Raw genomic sequence first — 25,547 nt, 5'->3', positions numbered from 1 at the left:
TACACAGAACTGAAGTCCATCATATGTTGATCTCAAATTACAGTACGCTTCCCTTGTCCTGTGAAACTAACGACTGTCTTAAGTTGAAGCTTGAGGCAGTTCCTTTTCCACGTCAAATTCTACATTTAAAACTCCGTATGCATCCTCATGTTCCCTCTTATCCTGATCACCATAAATAATACTAAATTTGGGTTGAATTATTTAGCATTTTTCCTATTTCATAAAGATCTTACATTTATCAAGAAGCTAAAGTATTTCCATCTGTTAATTTCCTTCCTGCTTAAGAAAATTTCCTACAAACATTTTATTACCATTTGCAGGAGTCCTTAATACTCAGTCTCCTAATTCTGATTTTTCAGCTGCAATTACTTATCTCTACCTGTCTTTAATCCTCAAATTAGAGTGAAGCAACATAACAAGGTCACCAAACATTCGGAGCTGTGGATTCCTGAAGCTAGTTTGCAATTCAATCTAGCTCTACATTAATTCCAAGGGCGTTTTAAAATTCTTGAAGGAAGATTTTAATTATTAAAAAAAAAAAAAGATAGAGCATTATCTCTCCTAAATGAGGGTTAGCAAATGATCCTGATGAAACCCTTCCCCCACCTTTTAACTGTTAAATTCAAGAGTTAAGACTAGAAATATGAAGATTCTTCCCAAACTATTTTAGGGCTAGAAGCATATGTTAAACTAACCAAATCAAATTATCTTTAGAATCAAAGTCTAAGACATGTTTGCTCTAAAAGGCAAAAAAAAAAAAAAAAAAAAAAAAGGTAGTAGGCCCAAAGGAACGCATGAAAGCTATTGGTGCCTGGTCATTTGAGCTTCAAGATTTTCTAAGCCAGGAGCCTGACTTAGCCACTAGCTGAATGTTGTGTGGGGTCACACCTGCCTCCCCCAGGCTGGCACAAACTACGTGGAGAATTCCTTTGAGGACTTTCTGGTAAGTAACCATATTAAGGCTCCCAACAAACAGCCTTACATCTGATTGATCCTGAGCTATGCTTCTCAAAATAACTTGTTCCCTTGGAGCCTGGGTAATTACGTGCAAGATGTGGCTCTGTGACAGGGCAGACCCAACTGTTGCTCAGTTTTAGGCAGCAGCAGCAGCATTTATTGTACTTTCCTCATTCTCTTCTTAGGGATGAATTCAAGCTAAAAGAAAAGCACACTGATGATTCTCCTCTCAACCCATCCGGCAACTGGGGAAGCAGCTTGTACTACACAGACAGCAAAATAAATATTCTTTAATTTAAGTTCACCATACTGCTACTATTTTCAGGGACCCAAATAAATGGCTGCCTACACACAGAGATGCAAGCATTCATTTAGAATGAAACAGCTCTCTGTAATACACCATATTCTCTGCATTGCTGTCCCAGACCAGAGAACAATTCTAAGTAAGGAACAGCCCACAGTCAGGTACAGCTATAGCTTTCCCCTACATATGGGGAAAACTCTGATTAACATATGCAATAAAAACAGAGAAGCTGGGCATTTCCAATGTTCCTGCCAACTCCACACCGGAGGGAATCAAGCTGGGATTTCCTCCTCCAAGAGTTCTTCCCCAGGGCTCCTGCTGACTGGTATTCAGGAAAATGGGTAATAAAGTCTTTACATCTGGAGCCATTTCAGACCATAGCATATTAGAGTATAAAATACATAAATAGATGCTTCTAGACTATAGCATAAAGTGAGCTAGTAGGCACTCGGCAAAATGTACACACTTGTTTTCTCCAGGTTGTGACTTTTTTAATATTTAAAAACTTCTAATTTTAAAATGTAATATTTCCTAAATATTCTACAATAAACAGGTATTTCTTACGCAATTATTTAAATACATATCTTTAAACAATAATTCAGGAGAGCATAAACATTCATTAGCCTAGATTTCTAAGTTATTTTCTTTGCCCTTCCCTAGTTGTCTGTAATGATGTCGGCTAGCTTTACTTCATTAATCGTCCATATTCCTAATGGAGGGGGAAAAAAACGACTTAACTTGGATCCAATCCAGCAATCCTAGCGTTCTGAAGTTAATTTTGCTCAATGAAGCGCTACTTCAAGACTTTTTTTACAGCTTCACATTCAAATCCCTGTTTTGATATCACATTTTAAAATCCTACTGGAAAGGGTACAGACTGCCCTATCCTAGGACTGCAGAATAGAAATCCTTTAGAGTCCTTAATATCCAGTTACGCAGATACCAGTTACAGCAATAGAACTCACCGTCACACATCAGGCATTTCTGACATGATTTTTCCTGCTTCCCTACCAAGTTCTTAAAGGCCTCCATGGTGACAGCCCTACCTGTGTCTCATTATAGAAATGAGGGAACTTGTTCTATTCAACATGATTTATCACACAGTAAATACATTTGTCACCATTTCACTGCTAGATTTTCAAGTGCCTGAACATAGAAATAAATTCTTATAATTTTCAGAAAAGACATACTGTCAAAAGAGCAAATCTACAGACAGGACTTTGGTAACTGGTCCAGATCTTTAAATAAGGTTTAACTCTTCATTTTGCAGATGTGTAAAATAAGTGTCATTAATGCCTGGCCCATATTAACATCAAATTGTCTAAAGTGTAAGTATAAATGACATTTATAAAACCATATACATAGCATATAATACAAAACCAAAAGTATAACAGTCAACCCCGTTTCAGAGGGCAACCTGGCCCGCAGGAGGACTCAGCCGGGCTGGTGGCCCCACAGCCCTCCAGTCACAGGGCTCACTTTCACGGTGTTCTACAAAGCTTGGTCTTCTAAAAGATTTATGAATTAAAAGATTCAGAATTACTAGACTATATATGAGATATATATACATATATCTCAAAGTATTAAAAATCTCACTTCACCAATGTTTCCATTTTTAAAGTTCCAGAAACAGGCCAGCACTTTCAGAAAAGGCATTACTACCCTATGTACAAATTACTTGGGGGAAAAAAAAAGTCACTTGGGTGTCAATATGAGTTTAACCTTCCATGAGGCTGCCTGTGTATGTCCTCAGAACAGGGAGACCAAAGTTTGTAGTCTAAACTGGGCCACTTCTGAGAGTCAAAGGAGGTGCTATTTATAATTCCTCTGGGACAAAAGCCACAAACTGGGATTGTCCCGGACAAACCTGGAGATAGGGTCACCCCACCTCTGAAATTACTCCAGCCACCTTGGTGTCAGTTCATTTCATAAGGAACAGAGGCCCTGACAGATGAAGTGACTTGCCCAAGGTCACCGGCTACTGTGCTGCTCCTCACACCATCTCTCATCTTTCAGGGTTAAAATGAAAGGCCCCCCAGCACTTTTCTGAGGCTACCCAGAACATTCCCAGATATGTGGGAATTCACATCTTTAACAGGGCAGGGGCCTGCTGTGTCTAAATAAATTCCCCGGAAGCAGTCTTGGCAAGACGGCCCCTAAAAATAACCTTTCCCGAAGAACCTTTTCAATGTCTGTTCTGCTCCTTCCTCTGGCTGTATTCCGGGGGTGGTGGAGGAAATACAGAAGCAGAAGTATCAAATTCAGCATCCTCAGACATTGTTCCCACCTCCTGTCTCAAAGTCAGGCTTATCACTCGAAGCAGTAACAGCAATGGTCAGTGGAGCTAAGGGAGGACTCATCTCAATAAACCTGATAGGGATGAGGGTCAGTTTATAAGATCAGGGTGCAGTACGAGGAGAGGGCTGTGCCTCACACACAGTAAATGTACTACCAGTACTGACTTCATACCTGGGCACTGTGGTAAGCCACCCACATATACAGGCCTCCCCATCTTCCGCTGAGCCTGAAATTCACTGGAATTAGACAACAGGGTTATTGCCTCAGAAAAGTCACCTCTAAAAATATCAGTGACAATTAGCTGGGTGTGGTGGTGCATGCCTGTAATCCCAGCTACTCGGGAGGCTGAGGCAGGAGAATGGCTTGAACCCGGGAGGCAGAAGTTGCAGTGAGCCGAGATGGTGCCACTGCACTCCAGTCTGGGCTATAGAGAGAGACTCCGTCTCAAAAATAAGATAAATAAAATAAAATAATAAAATAAAAATATCAGTGATCCCTAGAAAGGCAGGTCTTGGGAATCTTTCATTTTTAGGCATAGAAAATGATGACAGTAAGTGCATGAAAAATCATAAGGAGAATGTGGGGTCTGGGGGTGGTGTACAGGTGAAGCAGACCTAGGTGGCCAGAGGCAGCTGTGGGAAGTAGGGGGCCTTGGGAAAGAGGATTTTGAAACAGGGTAAAGCAACAAGCAGTACTCATTAGCCTACTTCACAGTTTTACTTCATGCCAGTTTCTTTCATAGCAAAGTTTTTATTAACCATTCAAACTTATTTTCCTTTTAGTCATCACCTATTCATGAAGCTTGGTTTTTCCTTGGCCTACTGGATACGGAGAGATTCATTATATTCTCTCTGCTTTGGGGTATGATTAAAATTTCCCATAATAAAACTTTAAATAAACAGGATTTTTTTAAATTGCAAAGTGAGTTCTCAGTACTGCCATTTCAAAAGATGCTAGGCTCAGTCCCTGTGGAGCTCTGATCTGAGAGGGCATTCCTGTAGATAAAGACACGGCACCCGTAGGAGGATAACTCTAATCTATGCTCCTGCCTCTGAAAGTCTCATTTTCTAGTTCCAAAAGGGAGTTGACTCAGTGTCTCAGGCATCCGGGCTTCTTTTGGAAGTGCGTCAGACATATCAGCATTCACTCCGATAATGTGCCCTTCATGGGACGGCCCCTAAAACTCTCAAGAAGTTTAGCTGACTTCTCCTGTGGCCCCTTCCCTCCCACTTTGGTATTTCTGTTGGACAATGCAACTCCTAAAGCTTGACTGGGGGAAAATCTTGGAATGACAATATGGACCATGCCTCAAAATTCCGTTTTCTCACTGTTATCAGACATTCCCAGTTGCACCAGTTTAGAAATTAAAAAATTCACACACACACATATGCCCTTCCACAAAGGTAGGAGGTTTGTAAGTGGAAAATCAGAAATACTGAATCCCAGGCTTCTGCTCTGGGTTGGTTACAAATCCGAGCAGAAAGCAACAAAAACAGATAAAGTTTAGTGATAAAAATCAAGACCCTTACAGTTAAGCAGCCTGGATCTGAAATCCAGCTCTACCACTTTCAGACCAAAAATATGCAATAAAATAATTAGTATCTCCATATTTATAAAATTTCAATTATAGGAGAGAACTATTTCTACATACATTAGACAAAATTCTGTGTGCATTTTCCGGCTACCACTTCCCCACCCTCAACCACTGCTGGGCAACTCACTTAACTTGAGCCTAGCTAAAATAATGAAGATAATATTCACCTTTCAAGATGGTTGTGAAGATCCAGTAAAATCATACATAAGGTTAAAACAGTGCCTGGAATTTCTCAATAATAGTTGTTTCTCTGTCTTCTTCAGCAAATCATTTGGGATACTAGGAATAATATGTGAAAATCTCTCATTTTTCAATTCACTGGTAAAAATCCACATATTATCACTTTTACTGTCTGATCGGAATATTTTTTGGCTTTAGTGTTAGACTGAAAAAAATTACAACATCCTCTGCTCCAAATTCTAACATGAAAGGCCAAATATGCAATAAAATAATCAGCCACCTTATATTTCATAAAATTACAATAACAGAATGGAAATATTACAGTCTATAAAACACAAAACGCATGGTTTGTATTTTTCTAATCTGACCACCTGAATACCTGCCTCCCCTCAAAAATGTGTTTGTTTCAAAACAGAAAAATATTGCCCTCTACACATAATCTCTAAGTGGATTACGGTTTTCTATATGGCTTTTACGATTTTCATGACTGTTCTTTCTGACACCCAAAACATCTACAATATGTTTTAAAACCTTAAAACAAAACATCTAAATGAGAACAATAATTCATTTCCTTAATTCTATAAATGATACAACTGAAAAAGGAAGTCCTATCTTGGAGTTTAATTCTACATCATGTTTTTTTTTTTTAAGGCATCTTACAAATGTTCAATAAAGCCTTCTTTAGCAAAGCCTATCAATGACCATTCTGAGTGCAGAAGAATTTTATGTCACAGACTTGAGCACACCACCGTAAGTAAATTCATAGTTTTTTGCTTCCTTTGAAAATATAACTTGTCTGGGTCGGGTGCGGTGGCTCACGCCTGTAATCCCAGCACTTTGGGAGGCCACGGCAGGTGGATCACCTGAGGTCAGGAGCTCAAGACCAGCCTGATGAACATGGTGAAACCTTGTCTCTGCTAAAAAAAAAAAAAAAAAAATACGAAAATTAGCCAGGCATGATGGCAGGTGCCTGTAATCCCAGCTGTTCAGGAGGCTGAGGCAGGAGGCTTGAACCTGGGAGGCGAAAGTTGCATTGAGCCAAGATCGTGCCATTGCACTCTAGCCTGGGTGACAGAGTAAAAGACTCTGTCTCCAAAAAAAAAAAAAAAAAAGAACTTGTTTCGTGAGCTAAAAGATATTGCATTCCACAGCACCAAAGCTTTGGTTTCTGTTCCAGTAACTAAACCAACTTCAATGCCAGATTCAAGCCAACTGGCAAAGTTCCAATAGAATACCAAGGTGAGATTTCTCCAGAAAGAAAATCAAAGACATCTTGACAGTTCAGATGGTTCCAAGTTGTCTAATACATGATGTTTTCATCCAGAAAAGCAAGACTTCCATGTTCAGTTCCCAACATTGCTTCCTCTAGGAGTCCTCTAGTCTTAGCTCACTTTAGTGCCTTCTGGGTAGATCCTCTTCCACCTATCCCCTCAGAGTTGCAGCCATTGCATATGTAGATAACTTCCGTACCTAAATCTCCAGCCTTGACTTTTCTCTTTTATCCATTGGATATCAAGCCCTCAATCCAAATTCCCCATATTTTTTTTGAGACAGGGTCTTGCTCTGTTGCCCAGGCTGGAATACAATGATGTAATCATGGCTCACTGCAGCCTCAACCTCCCCAGCTCAAGCCATCCTCCTGCCTCAGCCTCCTGAGTAGCTGGGCATACAGGCACACACCAACACACCTGGCTGACTTATGTATTTTTGTAGAGATAGGGTTTCACCAGGTTGCTGTACCTGGCTTCAAATCCCACATTTTTAACTTCTACAAAACTCAAGAGCCCCTTTACTTTTACAAATGAATACCAAAGACATTAGAGATAAGGCTAGAAATGATTAGAATTCAGTTTTACAGCCTGGCTATTTTGTGGTATTGGTCAAGGGCATCAAATATAGTGGGACAACAATGGCCGGGCACGGTGGCTCATGCCTGTAATCCCAGCACTTTGGGAGGCCAAGGTGGACGGATCACGAGGTCGAGATCGAGACCATCCTGGCTAACATGGTGAAACCCCATCTCTACTAGAAATACAAAAATTAGCTGGGCGTGGTGGCGCACGCCTGTAGTCTCAGCTACTCAGGAGGCTGAGGTAGGAGAATCGCTTGAACCCGGGAGGCGGAGGTTGCAGTGAGCCGAGATTGCGCCACTGCACTCCAGCCTGGCGACAGAGCAAGACTCCATCTCAAAAAAAAAAAAAAAAAATAGTGGGACAACAGCAGTAAAGTTGTTTGGGTTGAAATAAAGAGACTGTAATTTTTGGAGGTCAAAATGGTCAGCATCAAGTATTTCATATCGTTCTATCTTACATATAAATTATCTTAAAATCCTCATAAACAGCAATGAGATTACCTACCTTCTAAAAGTTAATTGTCATCTTCACATCTTGTTTGACTATAACAAAATAACTTAAAGACTCCACATGACTTTAGAAGATAGGATTTCTTGATTTGTCTTTGCAATCTCAATTATAACTACCTTTGCAAAACTCAATCATAGCTTCATATTAAATACTGCTCCCATTCCCCCAAAACAATCTTTTTTTTTTTTTTTTGAGACAGAGTCTTCTTCTGTCACCGAAGCTGGAGTGCAGTGACACGATCTCACTGCGCTCCAGCTGTGAGTGCAGCTCACTCACTCCAATTCCAATGAGTCTCCTGCCTCAGCCTCCCGAGTAGCTGGGATTACAGGCGCATACCACCACACCTGGCTAATTTTTGGATTTTTAATAGAGATGGGGTTTCACCATGTTGGCCAGGCTGGTCTCGAACTCCTGACCTGATGTGATCTGCCTGCCTCGGCCTCCCAAAGTGCTGGGATTACAGGCTTAAGCCTCTGCGCCTGGCCCCAAAACAATCTCATATTCACCTATTTGTACATTTGGTTCTCACATTCACTAATAAAATATAGGTCTTTTCTAAGATAGCATGGCTTTTTATGAAAAGGTTGTAATGGATACTAATAAGAATCTGTTTTCAGTGTATAATAATTTCTAAAGACTATGACCAACACATTTACCCCCTAGCAAAAACAAATAAGACAAATCAAAGTTATGCCAACTTCTTGGTCTAGGGCTTGGCATGTATGAAGACTGCATATGCCAGTTCTTTCCCAGGACCACAGAATCACCTGCAATCTTGTCTCCATTTTCCAATTCCAGCACTGTGAAGCACACTGCATCTTCAAAAAAATTTCCCCATGTTTTCTATACAAAAACAAATTTAAATTTATACGTCTCTGAATCATAAATGAACTTGGAATTTTCTTTATTAAGTGGGTGAAGGTTTTCAATCTGGGCAGGGGGGGGGAACTCATTTCAAATCAAATTCAGGTTACCAGAACTTTTTCTCATAAATATGGTGACAAATTTTATTATGATATACATAAATCTGTATAATTATTTTTTCAATTCTAAAAGCTCTAAATTCCAATTATTGATGTTCTTTTTTTTTTTTTTCAGACACAGCACATCTCTTAACTTTTTTTTTTTTTTTTTGAGACAGTCTCACTCTGTCTCCCATGCTGGGGTGCAGTGGCATGATCTTGGCTCACAGCAGCCGCCGCCTCCCAGGTTCAAGTGATTTTCATGCCTCAGCCTCCCAAGTGGCTGGGATTATGGGCAGACATCACCATACCCAGCTAATTTTTTTTTTTTTTTTGTATTTTTAGTAGAGACTGGGTTTCGCCGTGTTGGCCAGGCTGGTCTCAAACTCCTGGCCTCATCTGATTCACCTGCCTCAGCCTCCCAAAGGGCTGGGATTACAGGCATGAGACACTGTGCCCGGCCTGAACATTTTTTAACGAAAAGCTTATTTCTCACTCTGTCACCCAGAGCGGGAGTGCAGTGGTGCCATCATAGCTCACTGCAGCCTCAAACTTCTGAGCTCAAGCAATCCTCTCACTTCAGCCTCCCAAGTAGCTAAAACTACAAGCACACGCCACCATACCGGCTAATTTTTAAATTTTTTTTGTAGAGACAAGGTCTCTCTATGTTGCCCAGGACACTCTCTAACTCCTAGCCTCAAGAGACAGCCTTGCCTCAGCCTCCCAAAGTGCTGGGAATATGGGCATGAGCCACCACACCCGGCCTCGACAGCTCAGACTTACAATAAAAATCAAGTCAGGGAACTCTTTTCGGGGACCTGAGAAAATACTTCAAGAGAACATTTTTAAAAAGCATTAAATGAGTATGAGTTGGGAGTTAACACATTCAGAGCTCAAAAAGTCATAAAGACTGCCAAAAAAGATGTTAATTGTTAAAATGAAAGTTTTTTTAATTTAAAAAGTAATTGTACTAAACGTTTCTTAGAAATGATTCATAATTTCTTCATTCAATAAATGTCAGTGCGGGCCAGGCGTGGTGGCTCACACCTGTAATCCCAGCACTTTGTGAGGTCGAGGCGGGTGGATCACTTGAAGTCTGGAGTTCAAGACCAGCCTGATCAACATGGAGAAACCCCGTCTCTACTAAAAATAAAAAAATTAGCCGGGCGTGGTGGCAAATGCCTGTAATCCCAGCTACTCAGGAGGCTGAGGCAAGAGAATCACCTGAACCTGGGAGGCGGAGGTTGTGGTTAGCCGCCGAGATTGTGCCATTGCACTCCAGCCCGGGCAACGACAGTGAAACTCCGTCTCAAAAAAAAAAAAAAAAGAAAAGAAAAAAAAAAATGTCAGTGCAGACTCTGTGTGAGTCCAATGAGGCACAGGGACCTACAGAGAAGAGCTACTGCTCATAGCCCTTGTTGGGGAGACAGAGCATCAGGTGACCCCTGCTCTAGAAGGCAGACCTCTCAGTAAAGCAGCTGCAGAAGGAGGTACTACTAAGATAGGTGGAGGAGGGAGGGTCTATGGAAGAGACAAGGGCTCGAGTCAGACACAGTGACAGGCAATCAGGGACATGAGATCTTTAAAAACCTGCAGCAGGGATACTGGGGTGGTGAATGAACAGACGATGGGGCTAGTTCAGGCCTGGCCTCACAAACCACCATAAGAGGCTTGAACTCTCTCCTGAAGGCAACCAAGAACCACAGAGACACTTGAATCAGGAAAATATCACAACCAGGCTTGTGTCTTATTAAGATCATTTTTGGCAGCATCTTGGAGAAAAGCCAGCAGACGAGCATGACCCTTGGAAGGGTGACAAAAAGGGAGGCCACCACCCTCATCTCCGCAGGGAAGGTGGAAAGCCTGAAGGCCTTGGAGCACACAGGGAGGGGAAGAGGCAGGGTCCAGAGGACTCCACGGGAGGTGGTGACCCAACGGCCGTGGTGTGGGAGAGGAGGAGGGGGCAAGGGTAACACTCGGGTTTCTGGCTTGGGCGCCTGGAAGAAAGACATTTCCATTCACCATGAAGGGGAACCAAGCAGGAGGGTTTGAAACACCTTTGGCTTTGAAAACACCTTCCTTACACCAGCCTGGCTGAAGCAGATGCCCCTCCTCTGTGCTTCTCACAGACCACTCCTGTCTCTTGAACTTGGCTGTAAGCTCCTTAAGGGCCATGGTGGTGTCATCAACTCTCTCTGCTGGTCCCTAGGACTACAAAAATGTTTGCCAAATGAATGAAAGAATGAACCATCATGCTTGTGTTCCATTTATATTTTGCTCCTCACCAGGGTTGCAGGTAAAAACACCTTGTAGTTTCCAATCTAGAAAACTCTGTGTGTGTGTGTGTGTGTGTGTGTGTGTGTGTGTGTGCATGTGTGCAGATGTTTGTACCAAAAATTTTCCTCAGTCTTCTTCAGAAAGGCCAAATTCTTGCACTTAAGGTTTTCCTTCCTTTGAAATTTGTCTAGCATAGTAGTTTGCAAGCGTCTCCCCCAATCTCTGCTTTCTGTTCTTTCTGGAAGACTTAGTGCCGTTCCCAGGGAAACGGCGGTAGGATTCTGACTGTCCTCCAACGCATTCCGTGTGAACTCCTCTGCTCATCATGGTAGCACCCTCACCCACTCCAGAACTGCGCCTTTTCTGTAGGTGTCTCCCAGCTGCAGCAACCGACTGCGGTGCTTTCTGACAGTTTTCTGAGGCTGCGTTAATTAAGTTTCCCTGCTAAGAGTTATATTCCTCCTCCCACACTCTGGAAAATCTTATAATGGGCTTAAGTTTCTTACCTGGTGAATGTGGCTGAAGGCCTAGGGCAACCCCGGGACACATCACGGTGTCCCAAATAGGATGTAAAAGCAAAGAGTGTTTTTTGTGCCTCAGAACTCCTGCACCTGTGATTCTCCGTAGCAAACCACATGTATATTTATTACAGTCCCTCTGGGTGCAGAGGTTTCTTAGTGCCCACACAAGACCCTGCCTTTAACCTCTTCTTTGACACTTCTGCCCATTAAGAACTTTCTCTGGCTCTCAAAGACTATCTACAATTCCACCTCTCCCTCCCAGCAATGGCCACATGGACACCGGATTTGCCACCTCAGCACGGTGGCTCCTTTCCCTGCACAGAATAATGACACATCCTGTAAATACTTAACTTCTTATCCAGACACAATCTCCCAGTGGATAAACAGACTCTCCTCATTAGTTTGGTTGTTGCTTGTCAATACCACTGTCTTGACATTAAAGCCCAGGAGCTCTAATGGGGAGGATCATATCTACTTAATTGGATTTATACCACAGCCTACTGTGGAACAACATGTGGTTATTTAATACTTCGTATAATCCCTCCTGATCACTCTCAAATTGATGCCTTCCTCACCACTGCTTCTAACAGCCCCCTTGTTCTAATCCTCACCACTTTATCTGGATGGTCCCATAACAGGCTTTTGCCTGGGTCCCCCAGCCTCAGGCCCTTGTCCACTCAGATTTATCTCACCAACAATACTAGTTCTGTAAGCATGGGTCTTCCCAGCTCAAAAAACCTCTGGAGCTCTGCATGTCTTGGAGAATGAAGTCTGCACTCACCTTAGCATCCCAGGCCCTCTATAACCTGGCCCTTTTTCGTGGATCCAACTTTCTAAGTTTGAATATGCATCTTTAGCATCGGGTATTATCTCCCTATCACACGTGCACAAACACACCATGAGCCACAGACATATCCGATACAGAGCTAGGCTTTGGGAGACCTGAGTCCTGGTCTAGCCACCTTGGTTACTTTCTCCTTCTATACTCTTACCTTTGAACTTCTCCCATCTCTTGATGAAAGGGTGAGTGAAGGGATGTAAAAGGGCTTTGATAGTGTCAAAGGTAAACACTTATTATACTACACTTATTATTTTTTTATTTTTTGAGATGGGGTCTTGCTCTGTTGCCCAGGCTGGAGTGCAGCGGCACGATCACAGCTCACGGCAACCTCAAACTCCTGGGCTCAAATGATCCTCTGGCCTCACCCTCCCAAGTAGGTAGGATTACAGCTGTGCACCACCACACCTGGCTAAATTTTTTATTTTTTTTGCAAAGACGGGGTCTTGCTGTGTTGCCCAGGCCAGTCTCAAACTCCTGGGCTCAAGCAATCTTCCTACCTTGGCCTCTCAAAGTGCTGGGATTACAGGCATGAGCCACTGCACCCGGCTAACTTTTATTCTTGCACTTATTATTAAACAATTTCTTGTTAAATATGCACTTATTATTAAACAATTTCTTATGTTCCAAGTGTTCCAGTATATAAATCCTATCTTTAAAAGTACGCCAGGCTGGGTGCAGTGGCTCACGCCTGTAATCCCAGCACTTTGGGAGGCCGAGGTGGGCAGATCACAAGGTCAGGAGATGGGAGACCATCCTGGCTAACACAGTGAAATCCCGTCTCTACTAAAAATACAAAAATTAGCCAGCTGTAATCCTAGCTACCCAGCACCTGTAATTCCAGCTACTGTAAGGCTGAGGCAGGAGAATTGCTTGAACCCGGGAGACGGAGACTGCAGTGAGCTGAGATCACACCACTGCACTCCAGCCTGGGCGACAGAGCAAGACTCCGTCTCAAAAAAAAAAAAAAAAAAAAGTACACCCGAGGAGGGGGGAATGGGAAGCTAGTTTTTAATGGGTACAGAGTTTCAATGTGAGATGATAGAAAAGTTCTGGAGACACAGAGTGGTGATGGTTGTACAACAATGTGAATAGACGTACCACCACTGAATTGTACACTTATGATTAAAATGATACATTTTCTGTTATGTGTATTTCCCCACAATTTTCAAAGTACATCAAGGTCACCAAGGGCCAAATCTCATGCTCACAAGTCCCTCACAAGTCTAAGCGCAGTGCTGATTAACAAATATTCGGCGCACAAGGATAATAATATTTGAACATTTACAGATCACTTTACAATGTATAAAGCCGCTTCACCATAAAACAGTTTAACCATTTGATCCAGACAAAAAACCCTGTGAGTTAAGAAAGACAGGTATTTATCTTCATTTTCTAGGTGAAGAAATTGAGACTTGAAACATTTAGTGATTCAACTGTAGTCGGGTACCAGGCAGAGCTTCGACTCATCTGGGTCTCATGAATCTGAGAAATGTCACAAGCTTTCTGTTAATCATTGGAACAAACAATTAGTGCCTTTTCTCCTAGGAAAAATTTATGCAAGAGTATGTGTCATTAGGCAGGAAGAGCCTTCACCTTGTGCTCTAAATCAGCAGCTGCTGCCCACAGAACAAGGGCAGGGGCAACTCGAAGGCTCCCAGGCTCTCTATTTAATCCGAACCCTGTGGGCGGCTGCCTCTGTACACGCATCCTGCCAGGCTGCCTGACCCAACATGGCAACACATTTGCCTAAATGCCAGACTGACAGGAGGTGCTCCAAGGTGAATCCAGCCATCTCAACTGTGAAGAGTACAGAAGAATCTGAATTTCTTTAGGGACTATTAAAAACAATCAGAACACTTAGAAAAGTTTATCTATCATCAAGCCACGGACTGATTATGGACATAAGGACCCTTTACGTATCGACACATATTTCGTGTCCTTAAAAGGTCTGCTCTAGCCTCCCAGTACAGTTAAGGACAGCGTCCTGAGCTTGTGAAGATAGCAAACATATTCAGCATTGCTGCTCTGACAAGTCACCTCCCAATTAGGCTTCAGTTGAGGTACAAGCTCTATGTGTTCCTTGGTTCCAGGAGATGTTTACTTCTAGACACCAACACTCTAAAAGTTTCAACAGTCCACTGAAGAGGTCCCAATTTACTTAGAAATTGATATCCCTAAACTGTGTTCTATATGGTAGAACATTCTAACTCCAAGAGTGTGTCTCAGCATTTCAGTGTCTTAAAATATTGTATCTGGGGCTGAGCATCGTGGCTCATATCCTTAGTATCAGCACTTTAAGAAGCCAAGGTGGGAGAATGGCCAGGAGTTCAAGACCAGCCTGGGCAACACAGTGAGACCCTGTCTCTACAAAAAAAGTTTTTAAAATAAAAAAATTAGCCATGTGTGGTGGTGCATGCCTTGACGTCATGGAGGTCACTTGAGCCCAGGAGGTCAAGGCTACAGTGAGCTATTATCATGCCACTGTACTCCAGCCTGGGCAACAGAGAAAAATCCTGTCTCTAAACATTACATATTTTATATATATATATAAAATATACATATGTGTGTGTATATATATATATATATATATATATATATATATATATATCACATCTGTAATACTGCAGGCATTTTTCTTCTACCCTTGAGTTGTATGAATTAAAATACTTCTTTATAGAAAATATAAATATTCCTAACCCTATTAACACACTCTTCTGTGTAACACACTCTTCCTAACACACTCTTGAAAGAGAAGGTAGACACGTTGAAACGCCTATTCGCACTCATGCTAAACCCACTATCTTCTGCATTCCCTTCTCTTATAAAACTCATTACACTTTTATAAAGTCCTTCTACAGCAAGGCTTTCCTTCCACACCACAGAGCAAGGATTACCATAGCCCATGAGACTCTCTGAACTGTAGATATAATTAGGCATCACATCCATTATAACGCCACGGACGTCATCATGTGCTACCAGCATCTGTTGACAGATCTCATACCCAGCATATCACTGAAATGGCAAGTGTGGAGAAGGCAGCCCACAATAGAAACAATGGTATTTTACCCTTGTCCGGTTCCAGCAGTTTGTCTCATGGGACATAAATAGAGGCCACTGCTCTGGCCACACTGAGCTCACAGTTCAATATTATTTTACTGACTTGAGCAGGGTCTATACCAAAAGTAGAAATAGAGAATCTTCTAGATCTCTCCTAATGTAGTTTTTGCCCCCCAAGCATGTACAACATTCAAACTATCTTAAAAAAAATTCTCACCTTAAACTTTCTAACATTATTTTGGACTGGGATCAGGAAGTATGTTATTTTTAAATAATCAACTTTACTTCAAGTGCTATGCAATTATAATAATACAGTCAACATAGGAATCCCAAACCTAAAAGAATTCGAAGCCATATATCCAAAAATACTGCAAATAAGTTAAAAGATTAAATATGGCAGAAGGGATGTCAATGTGGCCTCTGGAAACTGTCATTACCTCTATCCTGCTACTGTACTGTACTTAAAAAAAAAAAAGGCAACAGAAAGCACTGTGATTAGACCATCACTTTCAAAAATGATGGGCAGACTACCTGTCCAATTCCTTAGCTATTTTACAATTCCTCATAAGAAAGCAATTTTTAAAACAAAGACCCGGGAGTTATCTTTTTTTTTAATCCATGAAAAGTGCAGTAATCAAAATTTGGGGAAATTCTTTTAAAAAAAAACACTCACTGCTAAAAATTAAAGTCACTTTTTAACTTCGTGCTGATGGATGATGCATCAGCTGGTCCAGATGACACATTAGTAATCCTCATGCCTCGTACTTCCTTCACAATCAGTCCTTTAAACAATAGTAGACGGCTTGAAGTTTTGTTTTTTTCTATTTATTACTCCCATTTTCTAAGAAAGGTAGGGATGGTAAAAGCCTTAAGAAACTCGGGGAGAGACTGAAATGTAGCTAAATTAGAGCTTTAAAATAATAATAGTAAATGGTATTTTAGGAGAGAGGGTAGACAAGAGACATCCTGATATAAAAATAGTGCTTGGTTATTTGATAATCATCTCTCCTTCCAGCTAACGCTGTTTGCTGCGAGAGGAGTTTGGGATGTGTGTTCTCCACCATCATACCCCTATTCACCAAATACTATCGCACAATCAGCTACAGTACCCATTATACAGAGATTCCCATACACACTATGGTCACCACAGGCTATCCACCTAAAGCAGGTCCTTAGAAGGGAAATCTATCTTGCCCCACGCCCAGAAAAATAGGCGGAAAAAAGTTCAGAGCGTTTGGCTTTTGCCATAACCCCGTTATCTTAAGGTTGGGTTGGCAGGTCTCTGTTGTCATGTCTGACCCAACCAGGCTCCCTGCCTAGTCAAGTAAGAGGCGGGATTAAGCCTCCTGGTGAGCATTCCCTATTTATTCCAGCCAAGAGGATCAAGAGGAAACCTTGAAAAAGTGGAATGTTCCACTGGGCCCCCAGAGAACGCCAATCAAAATGGGGAGGGAGCTTTTAGAAGCTGGCTGACTCCTTCGTCCCTGTGTGCTTACCTCAATGAATTATAAATAGAGTGTGAAATAATTGTCACTATCGGTAAATGTCTAGTGTTCATACAACATCCCTCTCCAAGGAACCCAAAAGATTGAATAAATGACTTTCCATGACTCTAGGGGCAGCCCGGTGGAAATTGCAATGAAGCTGATGTTCTTTTGCTTCTTTCAATGGGGAAGAGAGAGGCTGGGGTAAATGGACACAAGCGGGCCAGGAGAGTATAACTCGGGGGCCAAGGTCACAGACTCAAGGGGTCAGGAGCAGACCAGAGACCCCTTCAGATCTGGTCTAACGCGGGTTGGTGTGAGGAACAGAACCACATCTGTACCTCCGATGCTGCTAGCGCGCGCGCACACACACGACGCCCAGTGTCCTGCCTGTCCCCGGACGTGTCCTCTTTCCTAAGGGGCCCCCGGGGCTGCGAGGGCACAGGACAGCACAGCACCTCCACAAAGCGCCCTCTCGCCAGTCGCCAGGCCACGCGGCCACGCGCACGGGAGCCCCGCGGGGGACCCGGCCCCACCACGCGCGGGCGGCCCGCGGGCCCCTGCTGACCTTCCTCTGCTGCTTCTCCCAGGCTGGGTCCAGGAGCAGGTCGCGGTCCCACTCCTCCTCCTGGATCATGTACTCATCCTCGTCGTACACGTAGTTGTACTGCACGCCGGGCTCTATCTGGTTCATGGCGCTCGGTTGGCCGGGGCTGCGGCGGGGCGCGAGGGGCTCGGACGCACGGGCTGACTGGCAAACGGACCCACGGAGGCGGCGGGCGGCGGGCGGCGGGCGCGGGGTGACCTTCGCGCGGCTCCTCTCGGGGCGACACGCCTGGGCGCTGGGTCTCGGGCGAAGCACCAGCTCCGGCTGCGAGCAGCTGCCGCGCGGCTTAATAGCCGCGCCGCCCGTCACGTGGCCGCCCGGCCACGCCCCCGCCGCCACCGCCCCCGGCCCCGCCCGTCGGGCCCCAGCCGCCCCGCCCCGAGCACGTGCGGGCGGACAAGGGCGCCGGGCCCCTCCACTGTCTCCCCTGCAGCCGCCGCCCAGAGGCCGCCTGCACGCCTTCCGCCGAGGCCTCCGGGAACGTGAGGGGAGCGGCCGGCCCCGAGCAGAGCCACGCCTGCCACCCACGCTCTGAGAGCGGCTGGTTAGCGGCGCGGGGTCCGTCGGTGTCCCGGGTGGGTGATCGCGAGCCAGGGGAGGGACACCTAAGAGGCTGGGTCCCTGACCACCCCAACACAGCCAAGTTTTCCAAATATCATTTGGATATTCGCGTTTTCCATATATTCCCACATATTCATTGGAGACCCCTCTTCTCTCTCTCTCATCTCTCTCTCGTGCCTCTCTTTCCGCTCATCGGTCCCTCTCTCTTGTGTCTGTCTCTCGTCTGTCTCTCTCTCATCTCTGTCCCTCTTTCTCCAGTGTCTCTCTCTCATAGATCTCTCTCATATCTCTCTCTCATCTCTGTCTCTCCTGTGTCTCTCTCACATGTCTCTCTCTCCTCTCATCTCTCTCTCTCTCTCGTGTCTCACTGTCTCTCATCTGTCTCTCGTGTCTCTCTCCTCTCCTCTTCTCTCCTCTGTCTCTCTCTCCCGTGTCTCTCTCTCTCTCGTCTCTCTCTCTCTGTCGTGTCTCTCTTTCTCTCTCTCATCTGTCTCTCTCTCCTGTGTCTCTCATACCTCTCTCATCTCTGTCTCTCTCTTCTCTCTCTCTGTTTCTCTTCCTCCCTCTCACACACACACACACATACATACATACAGGCCCCTAAGGAGTAAAGTTTAAAAGCTACAGAACCCCCCTCTTCTTTCTCTCCTCCTCACCCTCACCTGGGGAAATCAAGGCACAGGATTTGGATCCATCCTATTAAAATGTTAGGAACCAAACCAAAGGCAGGAAGTGTCAGCTCTCACCTACCGGGCATAAATTTAAGAGAGCTGACAATGAAGGGCAAGCGGCCAGCTTCGTGTTATATTTCCATGTCGCCCTGTGGGTTGCACTTAACGCCTTTTCATCCCCCTAGTGCTGGCTAGCTGTTCCCTATCAGTTATGCTGCCGCAGGAAGCAAAATGAGGACCCTTGGGACAAGTAGGCTGAAATTTTTAAATCAAATATGTATTAAGCAACTACTGTAAACCAGAGGTTGCCTTAGGCACCAGACGAGCTGATGGGATGCCTGCCTGCAATTCAGTTTATATCTCAATTGAATAAACGTTGCCCACAGATGCTACAGAATTTTTTGTGATTCAGGGCTACTAATTTGTGGACATGTTTCAAGTTGAGTTTGTCTGGATTTATCATTGTTCCTTAGAATTTTTACATCACTCACCGTTACTGTTTGGGGCTTTATGCAGAAAGATAACAATTAGCAAACAGGTTGCATTAACTTTGTTTTGTTTTGTTTTGTTTTGAGATGGAGCTTCACTCTTGTTGCCCAGGCTGGAGTGCAAGAGCACGATCTCGGCTCACCGCAACGTCCACCTCTCCGGTTCAAGCGATTCTCCTGCCTCAGCCTCCGGAGTAGCTGGGATTACAGGCATGTGCCACCACACCCGGCTAATTTTGTATTTTTAGTAGAGACGGGGTTTTTCCATGTTGGTTAGGCTGGTCTCGAACTCCCAACCTCAGGTGATCCACCTGCCTCAGCCTTCAAAAGTGGGGATTACAGGTGTGAGCCACCACGCCCCGCCACATTAACATTTTCAAAAACATTCTCACTAGGATGTAAATTCCTCAAACGCAGGGATTTTGTCTCGTCCACAGTTGTAGACCCCAGCAACTACAGGCGTGTCCACCGCACAGTGGTGCTCATTTGTTGAGAGAAGTAGTATCCCTGGAAATAGTGACTGAGCTAATTTACTTGGATTTAAATTTAAAATTTAGAGTTTATATTTTGGATTAAAATCATACTCTTGAAACAAGTGGATCAATAAATTTTACCTATTAGAAACTGGGCCGGGCACAGTGGCTCAGGCCTGTAATCCCAACACTTTGGGAGGCCGAGGTGGGTAGATCACCTGAGGTTGGGAGTTCAAGACCAGCCTGGCCAACATGATGAAACCCCATCTCTACTAAAAAAAATAAAAATAAAAAAATTAGCTGGCTGTGGTGGCATGCACCTGTAATCCCAGCTACTCAGGAGGCTGAGGCAGGAGAATCGCTTGAACTCAGGAGGTGGAGGTTGCAGTGAGCAGAAATTGCGCCACTGTACTCCAGCCTGGGCGACAAGAGCAAAATTCCATCTCAAAAAAAAATAAAAAAAGAAAGAAAGAAAAGAAAAGAAATTGGATGTACAATTACAAAAAGTGCTACATCGTTCAACTTAGTTTTCAAAAATTAACGTGGGGACTTCATGAGATGGAAAAAACAGCGCCAGATTTACCATCCTGCCTGAAACAACTAAAGCCTGGGGAAAAAAACACATAAAACAATGGTTTTCAAGACATTAGTCATCAGGCAAAGAGGGACAATGAACCCTCAGAGGCAGAAAATAAATGATGTGAGTACTGCAATTGCCCCAGCTTACAGTCTGGAGAAAACTTTCAAGATGCAATGCAACAAAGAGGTACCCAGGCACAGCTTACTGGTCTCCATAAACTGAGAGTTCAGAGAGACCAAACATTAGAATTTGCAAGGCCAATTACAGCAGAAAATGGAGCTGCAAAGAGAGAGAATCCTGGAGATTTGCTGTTCCCTGGAATCTGATCAGTGAATACATGAGAGGAAACTGCCTGAGGCCAAGGAAAGAAGGTCCCGAAAGGAATAGAAGGAATGATTCTTAAATTCATAACGGGCCAGGAATAGTTCCTGTTTCCATCAGCCAGGGTGGAAAACCTTATAATCCACAAAGCATCAGAGTACTCCAACCTGGAGGGAAATTAGCTCCTGATGAAATATTGTACTTGTCCTGCCTGCAAAACCTGAAAAGCATGACCTGAAAATCGTAATTTCCAAGTAACTTAACCATGTCCCAGATCAAAGCTCAAACATATCTATAGGAATATGAAAACATTCAACACTCAAATTTTACCCAAAGGTAAAATTTGCAATTTCTGCCACCTGTGAAATATTACCAAATTTTTCACAGGTGTGCAAAGAAGCAGGCACATATGATCCATAATGAGAACAATCCATCAATCAAAACTGACCTAGAATTGACACAGATGATAGAATTAGTAGAAAGGAACATTAAAAGAGTGATTATTGCTATATTCCATATATTTAAGAAGCTAGAGGAAAGATTGAACCTGACAAGTAGAGACAGAGGAGATATGAAAAATTTAATATCTAGAGATGAAAACTACATCTGAAATTTTAAAATACACTAAACGCGTTTGCCTATAGATACTGCATTAGAAAAGATGAGTGAACTTGAAGGCATAGCAGTAGAAAAAAATCCAGTATGAAACACACAGAGAGAAAACAGGTTTAAGAAATGAGCACGGCCAGGCGCAGTGGCTCACGCCTGTAATCCCAGCACTTTGAGAGGCCAAGGTGGGCGGATCACCTGAAGGCAGGAGTTCAAGACCAGCCTGGCCAACAGGGTGAAACCCCGTCTCTACTAAAAATACAAAAATAGCCGGGCACGGTGGTGGGCACCTGTAATCCCAGCTACTCGGGAGGCTGAGGCAGGAGAATCGCTTGAACCGGGAGGTGGAGGTTGCAGTGAGCCGAGATCGCACCACTGCACTGCAATCTGGGCAACAAAGTGAGACTCCGTCTCAAAAAAAATAAAATAAAATAAGAAATGACCAGAGGATCTGTGAGCTGTGAGAAGCCTTCATGCAGCTTAGTATCCAAGTAACTGGAGTCTCTGAAGTGGGAGAACAGGAAAAAAAAAAAAAGTACTTTAAGAAGTAACAGACAAAGTCAAGAAGTTAGTAAGGGGACTTCCACTTGTGGCGAAGGTGGAGTATGGGGAACTGGGATAATTCTTCCTGAAACAACCACTGCCTTCCACCCGCAGGACTGGAAAAAACTGATCATTCACAGAGCACTGAGTAGAATACTTAGGAAGGTCTTGCCTCAGCAGTGCCGAATGATTAGTCCTAAATAGAGCACTGCTCTAAGCTGGTTAACCAAATCATAAAAACAAGACCCAAAAGATTAAAACCATTTCCAAGTAACTGCATCACAAAACAAAGCTCAAGAATATTTATAGGCATACAAAAATATCCAGCACCCAACAAGGTAAAACATCACAAAACCTGACATTCAATACAAGATTACCAGGCATGGCGGGGCGTGGTAGCTCACACCTGTAATCCCAGCATTTTGGGGGGCTGAGGCGGGTGGATCACCTGAGGTCAGGAGTTTGAGACCAGCCTGACCAACAAGGTGAAACCCCGTCTCTACAAAAATACAAAAATTAGCCGGGTGTGGTGGTGGGTGCCTGTAATCCCAGCTACTTGGGAGGACGAGGCAGGAGAATCACTTGAACCCAGGAGGCAGAGGCTACAGTGAGCTAAGATCACGCCCCTGCACTCCAGCCTGGGTGATACAGTGAGACTCTGTCTCAAAAAATAAAAAAATTAAAGTTAAAAGATTACCAGACATACCAAGAGACGGAAAACACACCCATAATAATGAGAATATAAATCAATTGAAGCTGACTTAGGACTAACAGATGTTAAAGTTAGCAGATAAGGACATTAAAACAGTTTCTATGACTGTATTCTGTATGTTCAAAAACTTAAATACAGATATGAAAGATACGTTTTAAAAGACTCAAATAAAACTTCCAGAGATGAAAACTAAAATGTCTGAGAAGTAGAATACACTGAATGGCATTAAGGGAAGATTAGACAGTGGAGAAGAGATTAGTGAACTTTGAAAGCATAGCAATAGAAACAACCCAAAATGAAACACAGAAAGAAAAAATAATCCAAAAGAATGAAAAGAGCTTCAGTGAGTTTGCTGAAAGAACAATTCACCATCTGTCCTGAATATGTCTGCACATTCTTGCTGGTCTGCCAGAAATGATAGGACCCTGACAGCTCTTTACCCCGCCCATTTCTCAGGGTTGTGTTTGCAATGTGCAGCCTTGACAAATGCAGTAAGATCTACTCCCAAGCAAAAATGTCTTGCTTTTGGTTGCTATAAAAGTTCCTGCGGCACAAGCTCAGTGTTCCTCTTCTATAACGAGACTCACTGTGTGTGCAGGCTTTCATTATGAGCCCTTTGCTGTCACCTCAATGGGACTTGGAGGTTATGGGGAACCAGCATGAAAATCAAGACAGGTCATTTTCAGGGCTGTAAAACAACTCTCAATAAATTTAAAAAATTCAATCATAAAGTGAGTGTTCTCAGATAACAATGGAATTAAGTTAGTAGTCAGAAAGATCTCTGAAAATTCCTTGGATACCTGAAATTCAATAACACATTTTTAGTTAACCCATGGATCAAAGAAAAAAATTTTAAAGAATTTTAGAAAGTGATTTTTAACTACATGAAAATTAAAGAATTTGCAGGATATCACTAAAGCAGGACTTAAGAGGAAATTTATAGCACTAAATGCCTATATTAGAAAAGAAGGATTTTATATCAATGACCTCAGCTTCCACCTTAAGAAACTAGAAAAAAGGGGCAAAGTAAAGTATGCAAAAGAAAAGGCATAATAAAGATCAAAGTAGAAATCATTGACATTCATAAACCCAGGAGAGAAAATCAATAAGCTCAAAGCTGGTTCTTTGAGGAAACAAATAAAATTGATATGCTTCGAGCCACACTGAAAAAAGAAAGAAGACACCAATTATATATAACAGAAATGAAAGAGGTGACATTACTGCAGTTTCTATAGATATTAAAATAATAATCTGTGAATATTACTATTAAGAATATACTTAATATGTGAATATTTTAATATTCACATATTATTCTTTTGTATCTATACTATACTTTCATACCTATACTGTATGACAATCAATTCAACAACTTAGATGAAATGGAGAGCTCCCTTTAACAACACAAACTACAGATCAATATCCTTCATGAAAATAGTTGCAAAAATTCTTAACAAAATTTTAGTAAATTGGTTTCATGGTGATCAAATGGGTTTATTCCAGAAGTGCAGGATTGGTTTAATATTCAAAAATCAATTAATTTATCATATTAGTGGACTAAAAGAGTAATACCATATGATCATCTCAATAGATACAAAAAAGCATTTAACAAAATCCAACATCCATTACAGATAAAATTCTCAGCAAACTAGAATAGAAGGGAGCCTGTTAAAGGGTATCTGTGAGAAAACCTTCAACCAACACCATTCTTAGTGCTGAAAATCTGAATGCTTTTCTCCTACAATCAGGAGCAAACCATATGTCTGCTCTCACAACTTCTATTCAACATTGTACTGGTATTGAAAAAGAAATGGAAAGAAAAAGGCAAGGCAAGTAAATAGCCAGATTGAAAAAGAAGAAGTAAAAATATGTTTATTTATAGACATAATCATCTATGTAGAAAATATGATGGAAACTTCAAAAAAGCTACTAGAACTAATAAGTTGGTTTATCAAAGCTGTAGGTTGAATATAAGATAGATGTACAAAATTCAATTGTACTAAGAAATCTCCAGGTTCAGATGGCTTCAGTGGCAGAATCTACCAAACATTGAAAGAAATAACTCTAGCCCTGCACAATCTCTTCCAGAAAACAGAAATAGAAGGAACACTTCCCAGCTCATTTCAGGAGACCAGCATTACATTGGCACCAAAACCAGACAAAGATAATGCAAAAAAAAGAAAGAAAGAAAGAAAGAAAGAAAACAGACCAATTTTCCTCATTAACACAGATGCAAAAACCCACAACAAAATATCAGCAAATTGAACACAGTAATGGTAAAAAGAATAAAAATATTTTCAAATCACATATCCAACAATGGACTTATATCCAAAATACATAAAGAACTCTCTAAATTCAACAGTAAGAAAATACTCAATCCCAATAAAAGGTTGGCAAAAGACTTTAAAAGATACATCAGAGCATACACTAATGGAAAATAAGCATATGAAAAGATGGTCAACATTATTAGTCATTAGAAAAATGCAAATTAAAACCACAATGAGCTACAACTACCCACCAATAAAAATATCTAAACTCTAAAAGTCTGAACATATCAAGTGTTGGGAAGGTTATGGAGAAACTGGAATTCCCACACATTGTCAGTGGGAATATAAAATGGTAGAACTACTTAGGAAAACAGTTTGACAGTTTCTTAAACAGTTAGACACATGCTATATGATTTAGCCGTTCCACTTGAGGTATTTATCCAGGAGAAAAGAAAGTGTGTGTCCATACCAACATTTGGACATCAATGTTCGTAGCAGCTTTATTTGCAATAACCAAAAACTGGAAACAGTCTGAATCTTCATCAATGGAAGAACAATTGTAAATTCATGAATAGAGTACTATTCAACAATAAAAAGCAATGAACTATCTCAACATCATTATGTGGAGTGTAATAAGGCACACATAAAAAAGTTCATATCTTATGATTACACTTACAGAAAATTCCAGAAAATGCAAGCAAATTTACACTGACAGAGCACAGATTGGTGGTTGCCTGCAAATTGGGAAGGCCTGGGTGTGGGTGGGAAGGAAGGATTTCAAAGTGGCATAAGAAAACTTTTGGGTGATATGTTCATTATCTTGATTGCAGTGATGGTTTTGCAGGGATATATGTACATATCATATTGTACATTTTACATA

At 42.4% G+C, this 25,547-nt stretch overlaps 1 protein-coding gene across 3 annotated transcripts in view, besides 2 other annotated features; it reads right to left on the bottom strand.

Moving 5' to 3' along the window:
- ACTN2 (actinin alpha 2) overlaps nt 1–17,707 on the bottom strand; it is a 78,133-nt gene extending 60,426 nt beyond the window's left edge. For all 3 annotated transcript variants that reach the window (NR_184402.1, NM_001278343.2, NM_001103.4), the window contains exon 1: nt 17,407–17,707. Coding sequence is in view for 2 of the 3 variants with exons in the window: in NM_001278343.2 (NP_001265272.1) it covers nt 17,407–17,532 (126 nt within the window). In the remaining variant the exon portion in view is untranslated. The remainder of the gene's footprint in view (nt 1–17,406) is intronic.
- Nucleotides 13,791–16,123: an enhancer, noted in NCBI's record as "VISTA enhancer hs2135". NCBI's record gives its function as "enhancer in: heart[3/5]" and the evidence as "EXISTENCE:transgenic organism evidence [ECO:0001131][PMID:17130149]".
- Nucleotides 17,762–17,851: a silencer, noted in NCBI's record as "silent region_2005". NCBI's record gives its function as "represses an Ori minimal core promoter by ATAC-STARR-seq in GM12878 lymphoblastoid cells {active_cell/tissue: GM12878}" and the evidence as "EXISTENCE:reporter gene assay evidence [ECO:0000049][PMID:35858748]".

Source organism: Homo sapiens, chromosome 1, assembly GCF_000001405.40.
Source record: "Homo sapiens chromosome 1, GRCh38.p14 Primary Assembly".
Lineage (NCBI taxonomy): Eukaryota > Metazoa > Chordata > Mammalia > Primates > Hominidae > Homo > Homo sapiens.
This window is presented reverse-complemented; position numbering and strand designations above follow the sequence as displayed.